This window comes from Homo sapiens, chromosome 1, assembly GCF_000001405.40.
Source record: "Homo sapiens chromosome 1, GRCh38.p14 Primary Assembly".
NCBI classification, from domain to species: Eukaryota; Metazoa; Chordata; class Mammalia; order Primates; family Hominidae; genus Homo; species Homo sapiens.
Window position 1 is genome coordinate 41573304 of NC_000001.11, and position 21990 is coordinate 41595293.

General features: G+C 50.4%; 2 protein-coding genes across 3 annotated transcripts in view; both read right to left on the reverse strand.

Annotated features, from left to right (window-relative positions):
• Positions 1 to 21990, reverse strand: part of HIVEP3 (HIVEP zinc finger 3) — a 529570-nt gene that overhangs the window by 66939 nt on the left and 440641 nt on the right. For both annotated transcript variants that reach the window (NM_001127714.3, NM_024503.5), the window contains 2 exons: positions 6434 to 12015; positions 2241 to 2386 (listed from right to left, as the gene is read on the reverse strand). In NM_001127714.3, coding sequence (NP_001121186.1) covers positions 2241 to 2386; positions 6434 to 11494 — 5207 coding nt within the window. In that variant the 5' untranslated portion in view covers positions 11495 to 12015. The remainder of the gene's footprint in view (positions 1 to 2240; positions 2387 to 6433; positions 12016 to 21990) is intronic.
• Positions 12003 to 21990, reverse strand: part of LOC128125817 (uncharacterized) — a 43511-nt gene continuing 33523 nt past the window's right edge. The window contains exon 2 of the mRNA NM_001415000.1: positions 12003 to 12015. Coding sequence (NP_001401929.1) covers positions 12003 to 12015 — 13 coding nt within the window. The remainder of the gene's footprint in view (positions 12016 to 21990) is intronic.

The window sequence follows — 21990 nt, forward strand, 5'->3', positions numbered from 1 at the left end:
TCCCTGAAATGCCAGTTATGTGGCAACCAAAATGCCCTCCCCCTCCTTCACCATTTCCAAACACTCTGCGGGGTGATGCCAGCCCCAAGAGAACCATGAATGTAGAAGAATCACCAGAAGTGAGAGTGGGAGGCATGGTCCCAGCTTGAGATAGCCAGGCTGGGGGAGGAAAGGATCTGACACTATAATCAGTTCCATACGTGCTCAAATTGCATGTGACAAGTTGAAAGGGAGAGGATACCTTCCATATCTGACAGAACAGATGGGACTGTCCCAGACAGAGATTGACAAAATGGATATACTAGTAGTAAAATGCACCAATGTCCATTTTTTGAGCAGCTATGAATTATAGCCTTCATATGGGGTCTCACAAGGTCCTCTGAAAATCCCACATGTTATTTTCCCCCTTTTACAAATGTTATTCTCCCCCTTTTACAGATAAAGAAACTGAGGGCGGGAGAGCTGGGGGGCTAGTCTCAGGCAGAACAGAGGTAAGTGGGGCAGAGATGACAGAACTCAACCGAGAGGATTCTGAAGCAGAGCAGGTGGGACTAAGTGAAGACCTGGAAGGAGGTGGAGAGGGAGTAGGACCCATACCAGCTGGAGGAAGAGAAGAGGACTTGTGGGTGATGTTCCCCCTCCTTCAGCCATTGCAGACCGTGTAGGTAGAGACATCCAGCAGGGAGCTGGGCACGGAGTGGCTCCTGCCAGCTGCCTTTCTGGAGGCTCAGGCTTCCTGAGGTCTCAGAGCACCTGCCTCTCAGGGAAGATGCGAACCTCCCCGGGCACACACAGACTGCTGCTGGGGCAAGCTCCTGGGACACCAGGAAACACTCAGCAGCCCTCAGAGACCACAGAGAACCTCTGAAGCAAGAAGGAAGAGGGCCAGTCGCTGTGAGCAGGCGCTTCATCAATCCTGCCTCTGTGTGGCCTCTAAGGGATCCAGTGGCATGAGAACACAGAGACACACGAGGGCGCTCTAACCAAACAGCAGGAGGACCCGCGTCCCTCCCCACACGGAAAGAGGGTTGGCATTTTCAAAGACCTTTGGTTCAGTGTTTTTTCAACGCAGCTGCTATTGGTATTTTAGGCAGTAGGTTTCAGGGGCATTTGCTACCCCTGGCCCCCTTCCCATCATTGACTACCCTGCTGCCCACATTTCCAAGCACCCTCTCTCCTGAGAGCCCCTGCTGGTCAGTGCCACCAGAAGATGCCAACTGGTGGCCCTGGGGAGGGTGGCAGTCTCTGTTGTCCCCCAACCTTATGGAGGACTCCCGTGCCTCCCACGCTGACCCTGTGAGTTAGGCGCTTGCAGGTGCTAGAGGATCAGAGGCCCCCAGTGACAGCCATGTTGGCCCCAGCTCATGGGGACTGTCCTGCACAGGAAGCGCATTTTCCTCTACGTTGTTGTCCTTCAGGGCTGTGCAGGACCAGGCCACCCTGATCACACCAGGGACACAGACACAGGACCCTGAGACAGAACGCCATGGGACCTGCTCACAGACACCCAAATCCCAGGAAGCAAACATGTGGCCACACAAAACACAGCTGGCACAAAACTTCCACAAAGCACGTCTGAAACACGGCACCCTTCCAGAGCCCAGACAGTCCCTGAAGCTGTGAGCTCTGAAACGTTTAGACCATTCGTTTCCCAAAGTCAAGCATCAAAGGTGAATAACTATGAATGAGATTCAAAATATTCACCAACCATTGAGCCCTGGGCCCCAGCCAGTCAGGATAGGGACCAGTGGAAACACCTGGTGCATACAGTGTGCAGTCAGCCCTGCAAACAGCCTAGTCGGCTGAGCCCAAGTGCCCCATGGGAAACCAGACATGCCAAGATGGCCATTGGGCAGTACAGAGATGACTTTTGGAGAATACATGTCAAGAGAGACAGAAGTCTGGACATTTGCTGGGATACTGGGATGGCAACTCCAATGCAGGAACTAGAAACCTGGCCAGGATCTGAGAAAATGAGGGGCTGGAGAAAGACCCAGACCTCTCCAGATCCTCAACAAATACCCAGCATCACCCATCCCCACCAAGAAGCCCCACGGCATTCTTAAACAGAGGGGCCTGAGAGTCCCAGGAAGGTGATGTCTGCTGAAAGGCATCGCTGGGACCACAGGGCACCTGTGGGCAGAGCCCTTGCCAACTGAGCCACTGCTGCCCGTGAACACCAATGGGCACCAGCTCTTATTCCACGGAAGCAGACGATGGAAACCAAACATGAGTCTTACCCTCCTTCGAAGATTTTGATCCTCGCCGGCTCCCCTCTCTGGGAGGCAGGAGCATCCTCCTCCGGCTCCCCTCTCCTCTCTTCTTCCTTCTCCACTCTAGCTAGATCTTTCTGGCCTTCCGGGGAAACCAGTGAAGGGAGGTGAACCTGGCCCACCGCAGGAATGACAAAATCATTGCTGGTTAAAAGTGCATCCTCAGTCACGAATGCAATGCTAATAATCATGCCTTACACAGTACTGCACAAGTACACATATGCAATCTTCACACTCCCCCATGAAGAGGTGCTATTAGCTCCACTTTACAGAATTAAGGAAACTGATCCCCAGAGAGAATTCCCTTATCCAAGGCCATGCCATTAGTTGGTGTTACAGCTGGAACCCTGTCTCTTTCATGTTAACCTCCCATAAGACCTGTGTTTGTTCTCTGTCTTTTACACTAGTCTGGGAACTCCTGGGGACAGGTCCTCATCTTGGTCTCCTTGGGCACCCCAGAACCCCATACAGGGCCTGTCTCAGAGAAGAGGCTTAAATAATGTTGAACACATGAACAAGGCTCCACTCTGCCTTTGGAGATGAACTGGTCCAGTTCTTGTTTATAGATCAGAAAGCTAAGGTCACCCAGCGAGTTAAGGGCAGAGCTGGGAGCAGAGCACAGGTCTCTTGCTTCCAGGATCTTGGCCCTCCTGAGCTAGTACCAAAGGCCAGGAGCTGGGCTGAGGACCCTGACCAGCAGGACGTCCCCAATTCCACCATAGAGACAGGCACAGAGAGGCTGTGCAGGCTCTGGGCTGTTAGTCCTGCAGGACCCACGCTCTTTACAGAGCCACACCTCAGTGATGAGAGCTAGCTTAAGGGGAGAGCTGGCATTGGCTTTGTGCTTCCTGGACATCTTCCACTATCCCAAGAACACGTCCTGTAAACACTGCAGTGTTGTCAGGGGTGGGTGCACTTTTGCCTAGGGAGCAGAAATGCTGTGCTTAGGGGCTGGGAGTGAGAATTTCCTCCTACTTCATGCCACTGTCATTAAGGTCATGAAAAACCATGCTGTTTCCATCCAGTGAATGAAGCAACCACATTTCCTGATGCTGGGGCAATCTAAGAACGGCAGTCCCCTTTGCCAGCCACCACACCTGCCCCCACAAGGACAGCATGGGGCTAGGTAGAAAGGTGACTGGCTGGGAATCAGGGAGTCTGAGTTCCAGCACCAGATAGGCCATGGCACACTGGGCTGCCGTTTGGTGGATGACTTCACCTCTCTGGGCCTCAGAGTCTGAGGGGATTTAGACCATCTTGAAGATCAATTCCAGGGCAACTTCTGTGACTCAGTGACCACCAAATAATCTCTTCAGATTTGGAGGAGGGGAGTGGAAACCGAGCAAGAATCTGGACTGCTGCTTTGGCAGAAGGCAGCTAGTTTTCTGCAATACCCTTGGGTTTCCAGAGCCTACCATTTCCACTGCACCCCGGCCTGAGATCTAGACTGTCCATGTAATGACCAAGGTGCCTCCCACAGGCAAACAGACTACTTCTCCCTCACAGCCTGCCGTGATATCTGGGCCACACTGGAGGAGGCTGGTTTGGGTGGCAGTGTACCACTTTCCCAGGAAACACAGTGTTGGAACTGAGCAGGGACCAGGGATCCATTTTAGCTTTTGATGACAACAATATGAATAAGTATAGTTAAAAATACTTACTGAGTGCCAGTGTGGCATACACTGTTCTAAGCACACTCCGCATGTCTTAACTCATTTAATTATCTCCACAGTCCTATGCGCTAAGTGTTATTATTATCCCTATTTTACAGAGGATGAAACTAAGGCTCAGAGAGGTGAAGTTATTGGCCCAAGGTCACATAGCCAGTAGGTAAGGTAGTGGGATTCAAACCTGGGCAACTTGGTACCTGAGTCCTTGTTCTTAATCACTTTGTGACAGTGCTGTGTTGTTGTCAAAATGATTCCCAAGGAGGAAAAAGGAAAGAATGTGGCTACAAAGTGGACTCTGAACAAGCTGGGGTTTCTCCAGGGTTTATACGTGGAAGAAAAGATCTATGACCAAACAAAAACATCATGGGGTGTCCTAGACCTGCATGAAGATGGTTTGGAAGAGCTTCAAAATGCTAAGATAGACCTAAGGACTTTTTCAGAACTACTAACAGAGAATGGAAGCCGCAAGCTGACAAATGTCAGCTCAGTACAGTAAAGAACCTTCTTAGAGCACTGTCCAAAGATGAATTGGACTGCATCATGAGATGGTGAGTTCCTCTTGCTGGAAGTATGCAAGCAGAGACCAGAGAGAGGTGTAGTTGTATAAAAGGCCTTAAGCCATAGACCATGTGGTTATACTAATGTACCAGATTGGTGCAATTCTGGAAGGAAACATGCCAGTGAACCAAACAGAATATTCCAAGAAAAAGTTCGCAGGTTTTAGGAGCACTATAAATAAATAATTGCCGAATCCAAATTAACACTTCCTTTCTCTTAAATGGCCTGTAACATTTTCAGTCATTAGAAACTAGAGGCAGCTTAGATAATTCAAAAGGGCATTGGAGTAAAATCTAGTTTTGATCTAGGCTCTGCCATTTACTGTGTGGCCTTGTGAAAGTTACTTAACCTCTCTTGTGTTTTGGTCTCCTCATCTATGAAATGGTGATATTGCACCCTAACTTTCAAGTTGGTTGTGAGGAGAAAAGTAACATTTAGCATAGTACTTGGTACATAATAGGTATCCAAAAAGTTAGCAGTATGAATAATTATAACAGCATCTTGGGAGTGGCCACAGCTAGTAAGAGACGCTGAAGAGGAAATTAGCAGGACATTAACACAAAAGTGGAAATCTTGGTCAGGGATGTCTGTAGACTGACAAAGACATCTAGGGAATAAATTTGGAAAACAGTTCTGTGAAGAACATCCAGTCAAGCTAAGGACAAATTCAATGCACAAAGTTCACTGAATGACAAAAGGGGAAGATATGAGAGCACAGGAAATTATAGAACACAGTTGTGCTCACTTATCTACAATATGAATTTGGTTTAGGGAATTTAGACCTAATTTGGTCAGAGCTTCTGGTCTGAAGACACACTAATAAACATTTTTTAATTTGCAGTCAACTTTTAAGATTTTCTCTCCTCAAATAATTAAAAGAAGAAAAATAGACTCTTTGGAGTCAGATAGGTCTGGGTTCAAATTCTGGGTTTGTTCAACATTTGCCAGATTATCTTGACCTTTCTCAGACTCTGACCCTCAGTTCCCTAAGCTATAGAAGGGAGATGGTTATGTTACTTCAGAGGTGGAGGTGAGCAGTGACCAGATTCAAGGGCCCAGCACAGTGTCTGGCACCATGAGGCTGCTCAGTAAACAAGACCAGCTGTTATTCCACAAATGCCAAGTCAGCACAATCCAAATCCCTAGGCTGGCCTTGTCAGGGTATGGTGGTGGCTTTTGTCTGACATTTGAAATTATTGAATTTCAAACTTGCTGAGCTTTCAGGGGACGAGTTCATTTTATAGCTCCTGATGTAGCCTCAGATCAAAGGCAATGAAAGCGTAAACATTAGCGTTTCTTGACCACGTAGCACAAATAGGTCAAACTGTGAGTGGCATTGCCATCCACTGGTAAGGAGGGATACTGCAGCTCAGCTCCATTTGCTGTCTTACTCCCAGAAAAGGAAGAAGGAATATTTCAGGAGTTGTTTGTGCCAAATTCTAGAATCTTGGAAATGGGAAGATTTAAAGTGGTACTAGAGAATGGAAACAGCAGATGTAAGAATTAAGAAAAGCAGGAAAAGACTAACAAGACAAGGGATATCCATATAATGAAGGAGAGGTAAAAAGTTCTAAAATTGCTACAGGCATTCCTGTTAGCCAAGTTTTCCAACTCAGTCTTTTGGAAAATTTCTTTTTTTTCTTACTGAGACTGTATCTTTGATTTCACAACAGAAATTCATGGCAGAGCAGGATCACTTTATGGCTAACTTTATTGAAGTGTATCTATTCCAATGATATGAGGGATACAGTGACAAAGAAACTCAATAAACATGTTTCCTTGTAAGGTGACCAGTCTCAGCTTTCAGAGAGGAAATCTGACTACTAGTCTGGCTCTAGTTCTGCAACTGGAACCTGAGGATACTGTGGCTTTAAAAGCTCGCCAAGTGCTTTTGCAAATCAGTGATGAGAAGAAAAACAAGGCTGAACTTACCTCTGTCATGCGGGGCTTGCGGGAGCTGGATGGCACAAGCCTTCCTGCCTCAGGATGCGGAGCTGTGGCCATGGTGTATGTCTCTTTGCTCACTTTCTGCTTAGACCTCAGGAGGGACAAAGCAGCTTTAGTGGAAACCCCCGGAAGGTTGGGGTTGTACAAACTTATGCACCAACCAGCGTAAACAGAGGACCTCCTATCTGCATGCTGGATGTGATTTGGCTTAATGTAGTTTAAATAGCACCAACTGACATTAGTGGTTGTGTGGAGGCTGGGGAACTGCAGTACCTTCTTTGAGTCCGTACCTTCTTGTGACTTGGCTGGTCTGGAGGACGTTTCTGACAGAGGCAGAGAGCTCGGAGGTGCCAAGGAGGGGAGATCAGGTTGTTCCTTGGAATCTTCTTTCTTCACGCTCAGTGGGGTCAACCCTCTTCGGTGAGGTTTGCCAGATGGCTGGGGATATTCCTTCAAAGCTTCTGAGCCTGGGGCTGTCCCATGGGACAATGCAGGGTGAGGGAGGGGAGGAATTTCCTTTGTGTCAGATGGATCTGAGGACAGGCTGGACAGCATTTCTAGCTCCCTCCTGCCTTGGCCCTGGTTGCCTAAGTGGGATTTCTCTGGCCTCTTCCCATCCTCGGTGCTGGTAAGGACCACACTGCATGGTTTTACCAGCTCAAGTTTTTCATCTGCCTTGGAAGCCTCCTCCTCCTTCACTCTTTTTTGCTGCTGGGTTTCCATGGTAAGTTCAAGGCTGCCAGCTGGTGAAAGGACACGTTTGCTTCCCCCTGCTGTTGATGAACTCCCCTCCAGGCTCAAGATACTCTCTGATGACAGGGAAGTGCCTTTTCTTTCAGGTAATGTCACAGGCACTCTCAGGTATGGAGTTGGGAAAGCTCTGCTTTGCTCTTCACTTAACCCAGAAGGGCCGGGCCCAACCTCATGCACATCTGCACCACATACAGTCGTCCCCTTTGATGGGGGTTCCTCAAACTTGGGAAGTGCCACAGTTGCTGAGCTGCCTTGGGACTGGGTGACCAAGATCTGGGAAAGGGTGGTGTACATTGCGCTCCCATAGGACGGCATATTGGTCTGAACACGGACAGGCACAACCAGGGACACCATGGTGTCTGGACAGGCAGGCAGGGCCAGTGGAGGAGCTGATGTAGGTGCTGAGGAGCTGGCTGGGGGAGCCACAGGGGGTAGCCGGATGTCACTGCTGTACTCTGTGCTGGGGGAGAGGCCAGCACTTCCTGTTGCCAGTGGGGCCAGGCTGGTTTTGATCTGGGGCAGATGGCTTTCCACATCACCAGGGAGCTGAAGTGCAAACTGGGATTGCAGAGGCAGGAAAAACCCAGAAGACAGTGCTGAGGAGGTCGGGTATGGCATGGGGAGGAAGGAAGGGGGCTGCCTGAAGGGGATGTTGGCTGGGTGAGGCATGAGCTGGGGGAGATGGAGTTGGCCTGGGTGCAGAACAGTAGGCTGGAGAGGAAGCGGTGGGGCTTGAAATAAGGAGGGAGGAAGTGGGGGCATGGAGTATGGTGAGGACAGGAGGCTGGACATGGCCTGGGTGGAGAAGAATTCTGGAGACTGTCCTGGCTCATGCTGCACGAGATGCTGGAAGGAGAAAAGGGAGACTGGTGGGGGCAGGTATGGCTTCTCATGCAGGGGTGTCTGGGCAACGGGGTGGTGGAACACTTGCAGTGCTTCTGTGTAGGGCACAGTGGGCCCCAATGGGGGCCTGTCCTGCCCTGGGCCCTTGCCTCCCGGGGGTCCACCATGTGAGGTGGCCGCAGAGGAAATCTGGGACAATGAGCTTTTGGCAGAGGGTTTACTGGATGAGGGCTGTGGTTCTTCGCTCTCCTGTCTTCCCTTGGGGGCAACCTCCAACTCAGATTCTGGAGGCCTGCTCAGAGAGGCCTGTCTCACCAAGAAGCATTTTCTTCTCTCTGGCGGGGCCACCCGCGCTGGTGGAGCCACTGGGGCTGGAGCAGAAGGGCCTGTCAAGGACAAGCTGCCATAGTCAAAGGATTTGCTGCGTGTCTCGGTCATGTGGGCAGAATGGGAAACGTTGGGGCTCTGCTCTGAGGCTGACCTCCGCATCTCTCGGGCATGTGGGTGGTGGCTGGGGACAGTCAACATGTGGGTGCCCAGGGGTTTGGGGCGCATGTCAGATGAGGGACTGGGGGCCTCGGCTTTCCCATGGTCATCCCTCTCAAACGAGGCTGAGCGGCTGGACCCACTCAAAGAGACATTGCTTTCCTGGCTCGGGCTGCGAGACAGAGGCACAGAGGACTCGAAGCTGGACTCCCCTGATGATTGGGCCATCTCTGCCAGGCGCAACCTCTTCTTTTTGGGTGGCAGCTTCTCAGCTGGGAGCTGGGCAAGTGTCTGGCTGCGCTGGGGCCATTGGAACTCCTCAGTCTTCTCAGGTTCCTTAGGGGGCGGCTCTGGCTCTGTGTCCGGCCGGTCAGGCTCCTCAGTTACTAGGATCTCAGGAACCTGAATGTTGGGCTGGCGGACCAACTTAGGCTGCAGGGAGTGAGCAGAGCGTCCGTGTGGGGCAGGTGGGGGTGATGGGAACTGGGCCAGAGGTTTGTCTTCCCCTTCCAAGCCACTCGGCTGCTCGAGAGAATCAGATTTCTCAAAGGAGCTGGTGTGCTGGATGACAGAAATTTCTTTGGACGTTGTTCTCCTCTCCTTCCCTGATTCTGAACCGGACCCTGGCTTGGGAGTCCTTGGCTGGAAGCCCGTGGGTCCCTCCAAGGAGGGCACTGATTTACTTGGTTCTGCTGGTGACTTGGTGGACTCCAGGGGAAGGTTCCGAGCAGCATCAGATGGCCCGGGGCTGCCAAACTGACTTTTTGTGGACTCAAAGGCAGGTGGCTCTTCCTCGTCCCCAAGGCTCTTCTCTTTCCTCCTCTTCCTCAGTGGAGTGAGTTCCAGGGTGGTTCCCAGTTTGTAATGCATCATTTGGGACCACGGCTCATGCTCAATCTGACTCTTTTCAGCTTCTGGAGATGTGTGGGTGCCTGCAGAGATGGGCTTTGCGATCTGAAGCTCTGAGCAGTAGTATTTTTTGTGGGCTTCGTAGTTATCCCTTTTCTTGTACCGAGCACCACATATGTTACATTCGTAGATCACCCCTTTTGTTTTCAAACCCTTCTTGGTCTTTTTGGTAAGCTCGCTTTCCTTGGGTTCCACTTCGTCCGAGGGCTTGGAGGCTGTGTCTTTGCTGCTTGGGCCAGGCTCCTCAGAACTGTATTCCCCTCCCAAAGGTAATTCGATTGCCGGCTGGCGCTTCAGCATCCGGGGGTGGGAGGTAAACACGTGACTGCTGTGGCTCAGGGCTTCGGAGTCGGTGATATGGTCATCGAAGGAGTAGCTACCTCGGAAGGGGTGGTGGGGGGTGCTGATAGTGCAGGCGGCAGAAGGCATTGAGTGGCTTCTCAGGAGAGGCACAGGGGGGGCGGTACTGGGCGGGTGCTGGAGGCTCAGCAGTGATTGTTCAGGCTTGGTTTTCTCACTGTGGGATGACAGGGGCTCCCGGTAGAGGCTGGATTTTGGGGACTCCATGCTGCTGCGCCTGGACAGTGAGCTCCGCCTTGGCTTCACGCTGTCGATCTCGCTGGTGTCCACCACGGCCTCGTTGATGGTGATGAGCTTCGTGATGTGCTCGATCACCTGCGTCCGGGGTACAGACAAAGGCACCAGGCTGGGCTTGTCTTCGGTGGACAGGGGCAGGAGGGGCTGGGTGGAGGTGGCTGTCAGCATGGCGGTCCGCTGTCCTATTCGCCCACACTTGCCAAAGATGATCTCAGCGTAGGACTTGGCGTTGGTGTTTGGGGGGCTGACCTGCTGCTCTGCACTCTCGGAGCGAGAGAAATACCCAGACTCAGTACTCCCTTTGCTGCCTGGGCTCAGAAACGCCTGCTCATCGATCACCTTCTTCCTCTCGCTTAAGCGGAGGGCCAGCTTCTGCTTAATCGTGTGGGTGTCTTCAGGTTTATGGCTCAGGGGGTGCTCAGATGAGGGTTCCACAAATGGAGGGGGGTCTTCGAGTGACTGGGCTGTGCTGGACTGGGACAGGGAACAGCGTTCGTGGCTGGAACTGTGGCTCCCAGAGCTGTATAGCCCGCTGGAGAGAAGGGGCTGCTTGGGTCTTGGGGAGAGCTCTGCAGGGTGACCAGAGGTGGCACTAGTCTCCTCTTCAGAATCTGTGCTTTCTCCCTCAGTGGGCTCCTCAAACTCTTCCCCAGGGATCCGCTCCATCTCCAGCCCATGTGGGTACATCTCGCCACCCATGCCTGAGGCCAGGCCTGCTTTGATGCGGTGGGCATGGGACTTCCTGTGCTTGTAGAGATTACTCTTGGTCTTGAAGGAGAAGCCACAGGGGCCGCAGGGGTAGGGCCTCTCACCTGTGTGTGAGCGAATGTGCTTCTGGAGCACGCTGGGCTTGGCACAGGGCCGGCTGCAGTACTGGCAGATGTACTTGCCTGGCTTCTGGGGCTTCCTCTCCTTCTTGTGTGCCTCTTCTGTGGGCTTCAAGGAGACCTGGGAAGGACGAGGCACGAAGACTTTGGGGACTCCAGGAAGGTCCTCGGGGGGAATGATGGAAGCGTGGGAAGGAAGGAGCTGGCTCTGAGGATGGAGCCCAGGGGCCACGAAGGAGCCAGAGGGTCCAGGTCTCATGGGGTCAACCAGTTGCCATGTGGACCCCTCCAGGAGATGCTCAGGTTTGCCAGGCGACATGAATGCTGGTGTCAGAGGGTGCTGCGGAAGCTGTGAGATGTGGACGGATGCTTCGATGGGGGGCCTTTTGGGGGGCTTCTGCTGCTGGCCCGTTTTCTCCTGAGAGCCTTCCCTAAGAACTGATGAGGGGCCCGGGAAGGGCTGCGGGGCTAAGAGCTCTTGGGCGGGGCTCTCTTGGGTGGCAGCTGTGCCGCTGCCTGGGTATGGGACGCTGGAAGAAACACTGGTCTGAATGGCCTCTCCTTTGGTCAGCCGCTTCCGGGGACTTCCCTCAGCCTTCTTGGTGCCCTTGACACTTTGTTCAGGATCCATGACCTTCACAAAGACTTCAGATGCTATTCAGGGAGAGTCAGGGCGGGCTGCATTTATGAATAATCCCAGTGTCCCAAGGAGGTGTCCAGCTTTGGCCACATTGGTCAAGAGCTGTGGGAGCCAAACCCAAGACGGCTTTGGGAGTTTTTTGCAAGTGTCACTGGCTGTGAGTGGACTCGGAGCAGGTCATCAGGGCCCACGCTATTCTATTGGTGAGGCATGGCCCTCTACTTTGCAGACAGAAAACGCACCAGCACTTTCTGCCTGAATGTCTGTCGGGAAAACGTCATGAAGGATGTCAGTATTGCCATTGTATTGTTTCAGCTGGCAGTGGCAGGTGGCCCCCACGAGTCCCCCGTGTGCTATGCAAACGGTTGAAGGTTGGAGACATCTGTGTCCATGGCCCAGTCATCCCTGGTCCTGGCACAAGAGATGCCACGCTGGATGCTGGGGGTGGCTCTTCTCCCCTTTAGTTCTGGGTTGGAGATCAACGGCCTTGGAGGAGAAATCACGCTCTTCTTCTGTGTGATAGATGTACACACACACAGAAATACACACACACAAAAGAGAAGACAGAGTTACTGGGACTCATGCACAGCCTGGGCAGCCCAGACTCGGTGCCACACCTGGCTGAGACCCCTCAAAAGTTAACCAGGGAAACTCAAGCAGAACCACAGGCTCCGGCTCCACATGTCCAAGCCCTGCAATTCTTTCCTCCCCCGCTCCCATGTCAGTGTTGGGTGACCTGAATGCCAGTGTGTTTCTGAGGACTGTGGCCATGTGGGATGCTGAGAACAGAAGGCAAAGTGGGCTCTGGGAACTGCAGGGTGGTTAGGGACAGAGGCCTGGGCTCTCATCTCTGTTTTGTGATCCACTCTGAGTGGGTCTAAGCTCTCTAAGCCTCAGTTGCCTAATCGGTAAAACAGATAACAAATCCTGCCTCGACTGTGCCTCGGAGCTGCAGTGGGCCCAATGACATTGGAGATGCAGATGCTGCTGGGTGAACTCTGGATGGGGCCATGGCTGGTGCAGGAGGGAAGTGCCTGTGGTTTATTCAGGGGTGAGTTTTCCAAGGGGTAGATTATTCTCAGGTTAGTATTTCTCTCTGGCCCTGGGTTCTGAAAGTGTCCACAAGGGACATCATTCACTGCTTTTTACCCCATTGCTAACCCGCACCCCAGCCCATGTTTGAAGACAAAACTGCAAACTACTGCCACAGCCTGTGAGAACTTACAATCTGACACAGCTGTGACCATTTGCTTGATCCAAGCAATTGCCAGGAGGATCATTCTGGAAGGTTCCTCTGGCTTTGCAGCCTTTCCTTGTCCAGTCAGTGCCCTGGGGATGCCATGGAAATATGGGGATCATTGCCCTCAAGTGGAGGAGCAAAGTTGGTCTGCATATAGCCCCAAGTGTGTGCCTCCTCCTAGGGCCAGCTGCAAGCAGGGCAGTCTCAGCTTCCTGGGCTCAGGTGCATCCTCAGGGCCCTCCTCCCCAGGAACAGGGTCGGAATCCCAAGGCTGGAGTCACCATGGACTCCATCTCACCCAACCACCTGACTTTGGACATCATGAAGATGGCTTACTGAAGGTCCCGTGTTGCTAACAGGCAGTGTTGCCACCTGGACCCAGGCCTCCCATGGCCAGAGTTTGTTCCCCAGCCCCTTCTCAGGTGTCCATCCCCTGGCATCCCTTGGCGAGGCCCTGGGTGAGTGATGAGCATCTCTGTGCTTGCTTTTTCTCCTGTGAGCATGCCCTACCCCCGGCATCCTGCCCTCAGGCTCCCCTCATGCTCACACTCTTCGTTTCACTAGGTGTGTGATGATACAGACTTGAAAATGCCACTTACTACATTTTTGCAGGTGCTCAGAAGACGAACAAGTCTTTAAGACTCAAATAATTGTCTCTTAAAGGGCAGGGCCCTCGGACACTGTGATATGCTTTGGAGGAGCAGGTGATTTGATCTTTTAGCTAAAAAGCATATCCTCTAAGTTCACTCCTTTTGTGTGCCTTTTCTACTTGGTGCTACAAAGAATTCAAAGTAACTATAACAAAACCATATTTATAGAAGAATGACAAACTATAAATATGAGAAAATCATAAATAAGAATAACAAATCAGAACAAAGAAAATGGAAATAAGGCAAAAAGTCAGGATTGGTGGGATAAAAAGAGTACTGCTATACCAATAATAAGGACTTATGGTGTTTCTATAATTCAGCTATATATTTATATATGAGCTTCCTGGCAGCCAAGGAGAAAAGGGAGATTTGGTCCATTATGGAGTCTTATAGCCAGACAGGATGGAACATCTAAGTTTCTTGCAAAACTTTTTCATGTAGCACTTCAGTCAGGAGCAGTGAATGATGCAGGAGATCATTTATGTCTTCAATGACACCCCTCTGGTCATTGAATACAGTGACGGATTCAATGACATCCCTCTAGTCATTGGATATGGTGCAAATACAGTGATTGATATTTGTCAATGAAAGACTGTGTATCAGCAGAGATTCTCCTATGAGCAGTCAAAGGCCTCCTGTGACTTGTACCAAAGCAGGCTGAGTGTGGGGAAGACAGACAAATCTCATTTCATTAGATTACATCTCAGTCAACAGGGTGGCCATATAAGATACCATCCAAACTGGGACACTTGGAGAATGAAATGGGAACTACTAACAGTCATCGAGGAACAACAGGAATAAACAAAGACAGTCCCAGGCAAACCAGGACAAAATGGTTACCCTTACAATTAATATTTGCCTTACGGCCAAAACTAGGCATAAGTGCCAACTGTCTCTGGGTGTCTCATACATACTTTTGATCTCTTCTATGGAGACTAAAGTTACACCGTGATCTTCTGATAGATTCTTAGAGACTGACTGTCTAGTCCATTCCTCTCACTTGACAGAAGAGACTGAAGGCTAGAAAGGTGATATGATTTTCCCTGAAAATCACACGGGAATGGTGGCAGGACTGGACCATCCTGTGCCTCTTGACCCCCCAGCCAGGACTGTCTCCCACCTCAATTAATAGAAGTTCTCTGTGGCTTCTGTGGCATGATGCGCACTGCAGTCTATGGCCCCTAGTCCTATGGAAGCACCGGCATGGCCCCAGGGGACATCGCTGTATCCACGGCAAGAGGGAGTAAGGAATTGTCTAGCATCTGAACAATAGAGTTGCCCTTTCAACCTATGTCCTAACCACACTGCAGCTGCTGGACAGAAGAAAGGGGAGCCCAGCAAAGGTCGGGGAACTCGTCCTGGCAGCCTTACCCCAGGTCTTGCTTACCTAAGCTAAGGCGGGCAGAAGTGCTGAGCCTTCTAAAAATCAGACATGGTAGACATGGTTTGCAGCACAGAGAGAACTGCTCTTTGGGCTGGGCTGGGCCTCCTCAGCCTGGCTGCACTGTGATGGAGAGGCCTTTGGGTGCTATGTGTGGATAATCAAGGGTTGGCTATACTTACTATTCTTATTGATCCTTTCATGCAAGGATCTGAGAGCAGCCCCAAAACACCAGCTAGTGGTAAGCTTTGCTTCTTCCGATGGATGGATGGGACCCTGCAGCATGACTGGGTGGTGAAATGATCAATCTGAGTGGGGGTCAGCTGGCCAGGCAGGACTCTACATTGCTTAGTCCTGCCTTCTCCCCTCACTGAGCCACAAGGCTCTCCTTGGCAGGTGGTGGAGCGCCCAGCAGCTGGGGTTTGGTGCAATTCCCAGGGCCAGGTGGGAGGGGCAGGGTAGATGAAGGAGACAGTCAGATGACTGCTGCATCATCAGATGACTACAGGGCCAGCACTGCCTGCCCAGGGTCAGTGTCCAGCCTGCACCTGTGGGCTGGACATGGTGTTTCTCCAAGCAGAGGCCTCCTACCCACACTTCTGAGTGGGGAGCAAAAAGGCCACAGGAGCACCGTTGGCTGCCAGGGCGCAGAGTGAGCGAGGCCTGTGAGCTGGAGGGGCCACCCTGTCATTCTGCACAACAGGCATCTGAGCCATGGTGGAGGGTGGCTAGCCCAAGCCACACTGGGGCTTGGACTTCTGGACTAGTGCTCTCTGCCAGCCTGCTCTACCACACCATGACAGGTCTGAAGTGCTTAAGAGGAGGGGCAGGGGGAGAAGGGCAGCCAGGACCACAGGTGCAGATGTAGGGGAACCTGCAGGACCTAAGGAGACTTCTGTCTTGGAATGGATTCCAAATGTGGTGCGGCATAAACCGAAGGACCGTTCTAATGACTGTGACCAACAGACACTAAGAAAATGGTTCTTTTCTACCTTCTGTGGTTCTGAGGGTATGTGTGAAATTTTAACACAAACTTGAAGTGATAAAGAAAAGAGCCACTTTTCCAGGGAATTGGTGAGAGCACCTGTAAAAGTCACCAGAGAAATGGGCCCAGGAGCTGGGCCAACAGAGGCCTGAACCCCAGACCAGAAGAGGATGGACAGCCTCTACTGATGGTCACAGAATGGGCCATGAGGCCAGTGAGAGCTCTCGCTCAGAGACCAGCTTATAACCCTGAGGGGAACCTGAGCTTCAGCAGCCAACTGGTTAGCTCCCACTTCAAGAAGCTTCCTTTGGTCTAGCTGTGGGAGCAGCCCAATAGGAAGGAGATCGGGACTTGCTGGGGTTGGAGCCACAAAAGCCTCAGGGGAGTGGGAAGTAATGGAGGAGCCCGGGGCCAAGGCAGGGAGGCCTGAAGCTCTGGAACCAAACTGGAAAGCACCTTCTGTATCGAAGGCGTCAGGACAACATGACCATGGCCCAGGGTGGACACCCCAGAGGACATTTCCAGAGGGCAGGTGGGAGATGGGCTCTCTCAGGTAGACAATTCCACCAGTCCTGGCAGGAGGCCAGCTTGAATCTGCCTTGGGCTCTAGACTGAGGAGCTGGGGTCCCCGGTCAAAGTTAGATAAGGCTGGGGCAAGATAGGGGCAGGGGCCTGATGTCCAAGGAGCTGTTAGGCTAAGCTGGCCCCAGGCTGGTGGGGCTTAATACAGCTCTTTGCTTGTAATTTACTTACACACACACACCCCCACATATCCCAACATGCCAAAATCTGGTCAAAAATTTTACTGGCAGTAATAAAACATACTGATGTCAAAAATATAAGAAAACTTTCCTATTAACTTTAATACCTGGGAACCCAGGGCACAAGGCCACAGGCTGAAGAGGAGGCACTCAGTAAATATTCTTATTTAATGACCTAGCAACAAAGCCAGTGCCCCTTCTAAAAATCTCTGTGTACAACACTCTGTGTGTGTGCATGTATGCATGTGTGTGTTTAAGCTGGAGCAGAATTCTTCACTTGCAAAAAAATACTAAAAGTGGCTGTGGGCTCAGGTGGTGGCAAAACAAGCCAGATATAAGCATATGGGTCTGGAGACTAACAGGGATTGGTAGTCAAAGAGTCACAGAAGGATGTCTGGGCAAAGAGAGAGGCCAAGGTCAAGGCGGAGCTCTGGCTGGGAACAGGGATTGTGGCAGAGACTGAATATTTCTTCCATTAGCCAGTTCTCTTTCTTGTAGTAATCAAAGGCCCCCAAGCTGGGTCTATGGCCACCAGCTAGAGGCTGCCTTTCCCAGCCTCTCTTGCAGCTAGTTCTGGCCAATGATGTATGCAACTTCTAGGCCACAGCCAGAAGGAAAAGTGCTTGCCCTCCACCTCTCCATTTTGTCAGGAAGGAACATGGATGTGGTGGGGGTGAGCCAACTGTGACCACATGGACAAGAACATCACCCCAAGGAACAGTGGGACAAGAAGACAAGAAGACAGTGTGAAGCAAAGCCACCTGCCCCTGAGAGAGACATACATCTTTGAGCTTGTTACTTGGTCCCTTTTGGAGCAGTTGAACAAATACACTAACTCATCCAGGGGATTGGAGTGTGATGTTGGTGTCTGGGAGGCTGAAAAGGGTTTGCCAGAACCCAGGTCTAGGTAAGTGGGGACACAGGGAGAGGTAGCAACACAGATCAGGGTTTAGTTCTAAAGCACAAGACAGGCACCTGTAGCAAGGTAAGCATCCAGCCACTAAACCCATGCATGCGGCAACACAGCACAGCGACTCCCAAGGTAGCTTTGAGACTCAGGCAGCCTGCAGCTGAACCCTGGCTCCTCCACCTCCTAACTGATGGTCCCCTAATCTGGACACCCCTCTAAGCCTTAGTCTCCCCATCTGTAAAAAGGGACAGTAAAACTGTCATGTGTGGTTTAAATTGAGTTGACTCATATAAATCTCTTGGCATGGCACCTGACATATAGTAAGCATTCAATAAATAATAATCATCATTGCTATTGGAGAAAGCATTTCTGTGGAGGGGCTGTCATGGCTGTGTGGAAAGATCTCTAGACTAGATTCCAGTCCTGGCTCTGCTGCTTTTAGGCTGACAGGCTGTCATAAGACTGACTGGGGTTACCATGTATGTAAAGTCCCGGGCACACAGCTGGTGCTCAAGAAATGAGAACCAAGGTTGAATTCGGAGGTCAAAGCAGGGCCCCCACAGAAACCAGTGTCACACTGACCCACCAGGATATTGGGAGAGACCTGAGTTCCCCTAAACAGGGGAAGCATTGGTTCTTGAGTTGGGCAGAGCCTTGGCCTGCATGCTGGAGCCAAGTGGTCCTAGCAGTGGGGATAAGAACACAGGCAGGCGATCAGGTGGTGAAAGGTCTGATGGATCTGACTTTATGGGATACTTTTCAGATTGAAGGCTTCATACCAACCCAGGGCACAAGCTAGAACTGATAATCATGGATGAAAATCATCACGATCCTGGCACACAGCTTTCCAGGCCACCAGATCCATCTTCCTGACTCCATGGAAGCCACACTAGATGGTTCTCCTACTGAGATTGAGACTTTGCAGCCTCCAATGTACTTCTTGGTCACTGGATTTTCATGAGATAATGACCATTCAGTGAGGACCATGGCAGAGCGGCTCTGTCTTGTCAGTGTCCTGAATTCTAGCCTCGATTACTGCCAAATAGAAGAGTCACATGAGCACATTCCTGTCCTCAAACTCACAACACTTGCATCCCTCTTATTGCCATTTGATTCTGGGAGACACTGACTCCCAGAGAAGAGGCATGACCGACCCAACGAGAGCGGGCTGGGAAGTCTTCAAGCCAAACTAAAGACATTTCTGAGTCCTCCGATCTGCTGTTTGAGGTCAATTCCTCCTGAAGAGCAGGTGCTGCCTGACGCTGACTTGACCTGCTTGGGAGCTCTACAGGGGCAGAGAGGTCTGGGCTGCAGGTGGGACAGTGAGTAGCACACCTGGTGAGAGCCAGGGGGCTGAGCACCTGGGTCTCCTCACCACAGGCAGCCGGCTGCCTCCCTGGCTTGCTTTCTTCAACTTTCTCTGGGGGTTGGTCTGTGGGTTTCTTCCAGCAAGGGCAGATCAGGAGGCCTGGAGTCACCTTGGCTGCCATGGGTCCGGTAACCTGTGGCAGGAAGCCCTGGAACACACAGGTCTACTGTGTGACCCTAGGTAAGGCACTTTCCTCTCTGGGCCTCAGTTTTCCCTTCTGCAACATGAAATTGGGCTGAATGATCTCAAGATCACTTCCTTTCTGACAATTTTGGATTTTGAAATCTAAGACCAGGTGACAGTGTGGCCAACTGAAAAATACTGGCCACATTTCCTAGTTTGCTCAGGCTGGCTGCAATATTGACCTTAAGCTGAGGAGAATTCCACATGGTAACTTATGCCTCAAATTCCTGTTAGACCTTGGTCAAAGTGAGCATCCATCTAGTGATACCTGCTAATCTTTGTAAAAGGCAACCCTCCCCGTGGGACTGACTGAGAGGTGGACTGGCAAGGTCAGGCCCACCTACTGGCCCACCATCCTCTTGGCTTCTCTGGGGGAAGGGCTGGGGAAGGATCCTGTGCTGGCCTGAGCTATAGTTGCTGACACCAGGCAACCTGCAATTGTTGGTGGAAGCCCTGCCTTTTCTGCAGATGCTTGGCTCACCTATAACATTCTAACCTCACTCAGGTCAGGGTATCCCACAGCATTGACCTACCAGCAATCAGGGGGTTCTGTGCAGAGAAAACTACCCCTGCCCAGGGATCCGCATGTATCCCAGCAAGCAGCCCAGGCCTCCTGGACACCGGCTTCTGCCAGTCTAGGCCCTGGCCAGGTCCTGACCTGCTGACCCTCTCTTGGGCTGTCACCACCTCCACCCCTGTCCCCAGCCATGTCATCAATCCCCAAATCTGGTTGTTTCTGTCCCCTGCCTCTCCTTTGGGCTTGGGTTCCTACCCCTAGTTTTGTCGAGACCAGAAGTTCCAAAGACCAACGACAGAACAGAAATGCTGGGGAACTTTCTCCTTCTTTTAAACGAAAATTCTTAAATGAAAAATTACTTGAAAAATTTTAAACCACTGCAGAATTGTACCATCCTTGGCTCTTTCCCCTGAATCTCCCTGTCCCCACATGCCCCTCCCCAGAGAAGCTACAGTTAATTTAATATATGTTCTTCCCGACGTCCTAATGTATTTATATTGATCTGCGACTTGTTTTTTTTCTTTTTTTAAATCTATGTATGGATATCTAGGTTTACCTCTTTCTTTTTGCGGGCAGCAGCACTGTATTCCATTTTTGGCTGTACTCAAACTCAGCCAGTCCCTTACTGATAGATATGAAGGTTGTTTCCAGCTGTTTCTATTCCAAGAAATGCTACATAGAATATCTTCTGCATACTTGTATGAGTATATCACAGGCTAACCTCCTAGAAGGGAGAATACTTGATTAAAGGGGATACACCTTGAAGCTTTTCATGGGGACTGGCAAATAGCTCTTCAAAAAGCAGAAATTTACACTTCCGCCAATGGCGGGTGAGCACTATTTCCCTAACCTCCTGCCTATCTGGAATATAAACTGTCTCTTTAACATTAGCTAATAAGAAAGGCAAAATGGTTGTATTTGGTTCCCATTGCTGCTGTAAGAAATTACCACAAATTTAGTGGCTTAATGCAAAATTTACTATCTTATAGTTCGAGTGGTCAGACGTCTGAAATAGGTCTCACTCGGCTAAAAGCAAGGTGTCAGCAGGGCCACTTTTCTTTCTGGGGGCCCTAGAGGAGAATCCCTTTCCTTGCCTTTCCCAACTTCTAGAGGGTACCTGAATTCCTTGGCTCATGGAAGGCTCCCCTTCCACCTGCAAAGCTGGTAACAGCCAGCCGCATCTTTCTCATAACAAATCATTCTAATATTGACTCCTCTCTCCCTCTCCTAAGGACTCTTGTGATTACATTGAGTCCACCTGGATAATCTCTCCACCTCAAGATCCTTAATTAAATCACATCTACAAATTATCTTTTGCCATAATGGGCAACATATTCAGTTTCCAGGGTTTAGAATGTGGATAGTTTGGGGGTCCATTATTTTGCCTACCACAAAGATATCTTACGTTTCAGTTATAATTATTTTATTATTATTTTTTGAAATGGAGTCTCGCTCTGTTGCCCAGGATGGAGTGCAGTGACTTGATCTCAGCTCATTCCAACCTCTGCCTCCTGGGTTCATGCAATTCTCCTGCCTCAGCCTCCTGAGTAGCTGGGATTACAGGCGTGCACCACCACACCCAGATAATTTTCGTATTTTTAGTAGAGATGGGGTTTCACCATGGCGGCCAGACTGGTCTTGAACTCCTGACCTCAAGTGATCCCCTGCCTCAGCCTCCCGAAGTGCTGGGATTACAGGTGTGAGCCACCCCGCCTGGCCGATATCTTATGTTTTAAAACCTGTTTCTTGATCTCTAGAGAGGCTTAGCATTTTTGCATAAACATATTCAGTTATTTCATTTGGGAGACTATTTTTCTGGTTTACATAAACTCTTTTGATATTGAAGCTATTGATCCTTTACATATAGGTTGCAGATATCTTCTCTTTATCATTAGTCTTAGCTGTACAGAATTTTTTTTTGTTTCCATGTGGTTAAATGTACCATTAATTTTTCCCTTTATGACTTTTAGGTTTCACATCCAATATTACTTTTTAGAATGTCACCCAAATTTTCTTCTAGTTCCATTATGATTTATTTTTTCCCTCCTTTCCTCTCTTCTTTCCTTTCCATTGTCACCTTGGCTCCATCTGGCACTTATTTGTGTGTAAGGAGTGAGGTAAAGATAAAGCTTAAGTTTTTTTACTCCCTAGCTAGCCAGTTGTCCCAACAGCATTATTGAATAGTCCACCTCCCCACCTCTGAAATGTCTGTGGTGTCTGATAAAAGCACAGGTTCTAGCCCTATTCCAAATCCACTGAAATAGAATTTGTGGGAAAGGGACCCAGAATCTATATTTTTGCTAATTCCCCATGTGAATATTGTAAATCTGGCATATACTTTTCTACTGGCATTTGGGGAAGCTGATGAAATTCCTCCAACTGCCTCCTAATCACCTTGCTTCCAGGTTTCTAGCCTTCTCCCAGTCCACCCCACTCCACTATTCATTGTGGAAAGAGAAATCTCTTCAGTTGCCAAGCTCACCAGACCTCT